At 38.9% G+C, this 6,668-nt stretch overlaps 1 annotated feature.

Annotated features, from left to right (window-relative positions):
- Positions 5,696–6,256: an enhancer, noted in NCBI's record as "NANOG hESC enhancer chrX:90189169-90189729 (GRCh37/hg19 assembly coordinates)". NCBI's record gives its function as "activates a minimal SCP1, AML or CMV promoter by ChIP-STARR-seq in naive H9 embryonic stem cells {active_cell/tissue: H9 hESC(naive)}" and the evidence as "EXISTENCE:reporter gene assay evidence [ECO:0000049][PMID:30033119]".

The following is a 6,668-nucleotide window of genomic DNA, read 5'->3' as shown; positions in this document are numbered from 1 at the left end:
TTTTGCCTTTAGTTCTGTTTATGTAATTAATTTACATTTATTGATTTGTGTATAAATCTGGAGGCATCATGCTATCCAACTTCAAACAATACTACAAGGTTACAGTAACCAGAGCGTCATGGTACTGGTACAAAAAGAGACACATGGAAATGGAACAGAATACAGAACTCAGAAATAAGATCATATACCTACAATCATCTGATCTTTGATAAGCCTAACAAAAACAAGGGATTGGGAAAGGATTCCCTATTTAATAAATGGTTCTGGAAAAACTGACTAGCCCTATGCAGAAAACTGAAACTGCACCCCTTCCTTACTGCATATACAAAAATCAATGAAAGATGGATTATAGACTTAAATGTAAAACCCAAAACTGTAAAAGTCTAGAAGAAAATCTAGGCAATACTATTCAGGATATAGGCACTGGCAAAGATTTCATTATGTAAATGCCAAAAGCAATTGTGACAAAAGCAAAAATTGACAAACAGGATATAGTTAAACTAAAGAGGTTCTGTCCAAAAAAAGAAATTATCATCAGAGTGAACAAACAACCTACAGAATGAGAGAATTCTGTTTCAATAGATCCATCTGACAAAGGTTTAATAGTCAGCGTCTAGAAGAAACTGAAACAAATTTAGAAGAAAAAACAAGTAACCCTATTAAAAAGGGGGCAAAGGACATGAACAGACATGAACAGTCACTTCTCAAAAAAAGACATTTGTGTGGCCAATAAATATATGAAAAAAAGCTCAACATTACTGATCATTAGAGAAATGCAAATCAAAACCACAGTGAGATACCATTTCATACCAGTCAGAATGGCAATGATTAAAATGTCAAGAAACTACAGATGCTGGCAAAGTTGCAGAATAAAAAGAACATTTTTACACTGTTGGTGAGAGTGTAAATTAGTTCAACCATTGTAGAAGACAGTATGGCAATTCCTCAAAAACCTAAAGGCAGAAGTACCATTTGACCCAGGAATCCCATTACTGGGCATATACCCAAAGGAATATAAATCATTCTATTATAAAGATACATGCACGTGTATGTCAATTGCAGCACTATTCACAATAGCAAAGACATGGAATCAACCTTAATGCCCATCAATGATAGACTGGATTTAAAAAATGTGGTACATATACACCATGAAATACTATACGGCCATAATAAGAAACATGATTATGTCCTTTGCAGGGACATGGATTGACTGCAAACTAATGCAGGAACAAAAAACCAAACACTGCATATTCTCACTTACAAGTGGGAGCTGAATGATAAGAACACATGGATATATTGGGGGGAACAACACACACTGGGGCCTATTGGGAGTGAGGGTAGGGGAAGGAAGATCATCAGGAAGAATAGATAATGCATGCTGGGCTTATTACTAAGGTGATAGGTGGATCTGTGAAGCAAACTACCATGGCACATGTTTACCTATGTAACAAACCTGCACATCTTGCACATGTATCCTGGAACATAAAATAAAAGTTGAAGGAAGAAAAGGATTCAATGACTGCCCCACTGGATTTTGGATTGGAATTGCATGGGGCCTTTAGCCCCTTTGTTTTGGCCAATTTCTTTCAATTAAAATGGGAATATTTATCCAATGCCTGTACCCACATTGTATCTTGGAAGTAACAAACTTGCTTTTGATTTTACAGTTTATAGGCGGAAGGGACTTGCCTTGTCTCAGATGAGACTTTGGCCTTGGACTTTTGGGATAATGCTGGAATGAGTTAAGACTTTGGGGAGACTGATAGGAAGACATGATTGATTTTGAAATGTGAAAGGAGCATGAGATTTAGGAAGGACCAGGGGTGGAATATGGTTTGGCTTTGTGTCCCCACCCAAATCTCAACTGGAATTCCAATCCCCAGGTATTGAGGGAGAGAGCTGGTGGGAGGTGATTAGATTATGGGAGCAGTTTTCATCATACTGTTCTCATGATAGTGAGTTCTCAAGAGATCTGATGGTTTTATAAAGGGCTCTTCCCCCTTTGCTCTGTCTCCTGCTGCCTTGTGAAGAAGGTGCTTGTTTCCCCTTCACATTCTGCTGTGATTGTAAATTTTTGGAAGCTTTCTCAGCCATACAGAACTGTGAGTCAATTAAACCTCTTTTCTTAATAAACTGCCCATTCTCAGGGAAGTCATTTATAGCAGTGTGAAAATGGACTAATGCAGCTACTGTGCCTATTACCTGGGAAATGAAGTGCTATGTACATGAAATCCCTATGGTACACAATTTATTTGTATAACAAACCTGCATTGAAAATAAAAGTTTAAACAAAAGTAGAAAACATCAAAGTCTGATATGTGTTTAGATGAGCATGTTAAGTGTGAATGCATTGCACAAGGCACTCTCATTTTTCAATATCTCTTACGAAAAGCTTTGTCCTTTCTTTCTTTCTTTTTTTTCTTTTTTTTTTTTTTTTGAGACGGCATCTTGCTCTGTCACCCAGGTTGGAGTGCAGTGGCATGATCTCAGCTCACCGCAACTTCCGCCTCCTGGGTTCAAGAGATTCTCCTGCTTCAGCCTCCTGAGTACCTGGGACTACAGGTGCGCACCACCACGCCCAGCTAATTTTTGTCTTTTTAGTAGAGATGGTGTTTCACCATATTGGCTAGGATGGTCTTGAACTCCTGACCTTGTGATCCACCCACCTCAGCCTCCCAAAGTGCTGGGATTACAGGCATGAGCCACCGTGCCCGGCCTGTCCTTTATAAGATAAGTGTTTCGTCCGTATGTACTTATATGGTTAAAGATTGGATTGCAATAGCCAGCATGGCATCCAGGTCTCATTACTGTTTGCTCAAATAAAGACATGATTCTCACCTCCTTTCTACAGGCACATTGAGTCTCTCTGTTCCCTGATACAACCTGAGGTAGTAAAAAGTGAATGCAAGAAGCTTAGGTTTAGGTTTTCATAAGTAGCAGAAGTGAGAGCTTGAGGAATCCATATAAGTGACTCTTGCATCAGCTTTCCAAATGGTGTGGAAAGAAGTTGCCTCACTGGAACTCAAATATGAGAAAGGCAAGAAAAATATGGAAGTCATCATGGGTCAGAAAAACCAGAGAGGATCAGAAAATCAAGAGCTACCTGTTCTGGTATTTAATCAAAGGTAAATAATCTTTTAAGGAAACAGTCCAGTACTTCTAATCTTTCTAGATACATTCATCCAACAAATATGTGTTGAACAACTAACATTGAGCTGCCACTTCACACCCACCCAGGATGGTTATAATAAAAAAATACATATAATTATAAGCATAAGTGAGGATGTGGCAAAATGGGAACCTTTATAGCATTCTAAGGAGAATGTAAAATGGCACAGCTGCTTTAGAAAAAAACTTCCTTAAAAGGTTAATCATAGGGTTACCATATGGTCCATCAATTGTACTCCTAGGTATACATTAAAAAAAATTGAAAGCATATGTTTACATGAAAATTTATATATAAATGTTTTTAGCAGCATTATACATAACAGCCAAAAAGTGAAAACTTCTTAAATGTCCATCAACTGATGAATGAATAAGCAAAATGTGGCATATTCATAGAATAAAGTATCATTTAGCCATAAAAAGGAACAATCTACTGATACATGCCAAACCACGGCTGAACTTTGAAAACATACCAAGTGAAAGAAGCCAGTTACAACAGACCACATATTATACGATTTATTTATATGAGATGTCTAGCAAAAACAACAACAACAACAACAACAAAAAACCTATAGAGGAGGAAATCTGACTAGTGGTTACCAGGGGCTGGTGGGTAGGAGATTGAATGGAAATAAGATGTGAAGTGACTGAAAATTATAGTGCTGACTGCACGTTTCTGAAAATATACTAATAATCCTTGACTGTACAATTCAAATGGGTGAATTGTATGGCATCGCAATTAGAACTCAAGCTGTCATAGAAAAAATGGTTTATTCAGCATTAATTTACTAACCACTAAAAAAATACTAACACAGGGGTTCTCAACCTTAAATGCACTTTGGAATTACTTAGGGAGGTTTCGAAACTTTTCAAGCCCAGATTCATTATGTCAAGATCTCTGGGAGTAAAACCCAGTCACCAATGTTTATAAAGCTTTCCAGGTGACTACTGTGTGTCACCAAGGTCACGATACATGCTATAAATGTGTGGAGCTTTGTAAAGTACTAAACTAGAAAGTGGCTGATTTCCTTATTTGAAACTTAGTTTCATTATTTGTAACTTGGACATAATAATACTTGCCCTTTTTGCTTACGACATGTAAGAATACGTTTTTTAGACCACAAAATTAACCCCCCAAATCAACTTTAAAAGTAAAATATTAGTGGTAGTAATATATATGAGTGCTCATTGTTAAATTTATTCAACTTTACTGTATCTTTGGAAATTTTCATAATAAGATGTTGAGGTAATAAATGTATTATGCCTCAGAAATTATGATAGATTCAGAAGTATAGCAGTGAACTGAACTAACAAAGTTCCTGCTCTCATAGAGCTTACGTTTTAGCAAGATAGACAAAAATATAAGAAAATATATGTCAGGTTTGATATGTGATTTGAAAAAAATTGTAAAGAGGATTAAGAGAATTGAGAAATGACAGAAAATCTTTTCCTATATTGTATCTTGGAAAGATTGATAATTAGACATTTAAATAGAGATTAATATTGCTTAATAATTATTCTGACTGCTACATTGGAGAAAGACTAGGAGGAGACAGTGATTGAAGCAAAGAAACCAATTAGAAGACTACATAATAGTTATTATAAGAGATTTTAGCGTGAGGCCAGGCGCAGTGGCTCACGCCTGTAATCCCAGCACTTTGGGAGGCGGAGGCGGGCGGATCACGAGGTCAGGAGATCGAGACCATCCTGGCCAACACGGTGAAACCCCGTCTCTACTAAAACAAATACAAAAAATTAGCCGGGCGTGGTGGCTGGCGCCTGAGTCCCAGCTACTTGGGAGGCTGAGGCAGGAGAATGGTGTGAACCCGGGAGGCGGAGCTTGCAGTAAGCCAAGATCGCGCCACTGCACTCCAGCCTGGGCGACACAGCGAGACTCTGTCTCAAAAAGAAAAGATTATAGTGTGAAAAGAAAATATCTTGGGGCCCCCAAGATCACTCAGAGCACTGAGATCACTCACCCTCAGAGCAATGAGTTGGAAAAGATGTGCAGGCTCCTGATCTAGGGGGGGAATAGGGCATGCATCCCTTCAAAGAGCCAGTCCAGAGAGTGTAGCATATCTTTCTGCTGCAGCCCCTGAACCTAACAGAAGAAACGTGGCTACAGTGCCAATGATCTGAGAGGCCCCCATCAAGGTCCAGGTGTGAAACTTGTGATGGGGTAATCTCTCTCTTCTCCCCATCAGAGAGCATAACTGCAAATGCAAGGAAGTACAAAAGAGCTGCATGGCTGGGTATTAACCTAACTACCAGTCATTACTCTTGAGCACCATATTCTGGATTGCAGCCCAAACTACAACACCCAAAATTTATCCTGCTAATATATAGACCTGTAAAACCAAGTGCAAGAACTTACCCACATATAAAGTTTCTGTACAGATCCCTAGCCCTCTGAATGCATCCAGAAATGAAGCCAACTGACTATACTCAACTCACACTACAGTTAAAAAAATACCAACCATCCCAGATGAGAAAGAATCAGTGTAAGAACTCTGGAAATTAGAAGTCCAAGGTGTCTTATTACCCACAAATCAGTCCACGATTTTCCCAGCAGTGGTTCTTAACCAATCAGAAATGACTGAGATGTCAGAAATAGAATTTAGAGTCCAGATGTCAAAAAAACACATAGGGATTCAGAAGTAAATAGAAACCCTGTCGGGCCTCTGAGCCCAAGCTAAGTCATCATATCCCCTGTGACCTGCACGTATACATCCAGATGGCCTGAAGTAACTGAAGAATCACAAAAGAAGTGAAATTTAAATGGCCTATTCCTGCCTTAACTGATGACATTCCACCACAAAAGAAGTGAAAATTGCCAGTCCGTGCCTTAACTGATGACATTACCTTGTGAAATTCCTTCTCCTGGCTCATCCTGGCTCAAAAGCTCCCCCACTGAGCACCTTGTGACCCCCACCCCTGCCCGCCAGAGAACAACCCCCCTTTGACTGTAATTTTCCTTTACCTACCCAAATCTTATAAAACGGCCCCACCCCTATCTCCCTTCCCTGACTCTCTTTTCGGACTCAGCCCGCCTGCACCCAGGTGAAATAAACAGCCTTGTTGCTCACACAAAGCCTGTTTGGTGGTCTCTTCACACAGACACGAGTGAAAAACCCAATCTAATGAATCTAAAAAATCCAGTAAAATGACTCAAGAGATGAAAGATAAAACAACCATTTTAAGACAAAACCAAACTGAATTTCTGGAGCTAAAAATATTTACTAAAAAACAATTCATAATACATCAAAAGTATTACTAAAAGAATAGAACATGCTGAGAAAAGAATCTCAGAGTTTGATGGTCAGCTCTTTGAATCAACTCAGTCTAACAAAAATTAAGAAAAATGACTAAAACCTCCAAGAAATATGGGTTCCTGTAAAATGACCTGTGAACCCCCAAAATTTGAGGCAGGTTTGAGTTAACTTAGAAAGTTTATTTTGCCATTGAGCTGGGCACGGTGGCTCATGCCTGTAATCCCAGCACTT

Source organism: Homo sapiens, chromosome X, assembly GCF_000001405.40.
Source record: "Homo sapiens chromosome X, GRCh38.p14 Primary Assembly".
Lineage (NCBI taxonomy): Eukaryota > Metazoa > Chordata > Mammalia > Primates > Hominidae > Homo > Homo sapiens.
Note: the sequence above shows the minus strand (reverse complement) of the source record. Positions and strands in the feature narration are given on the sequence as shown.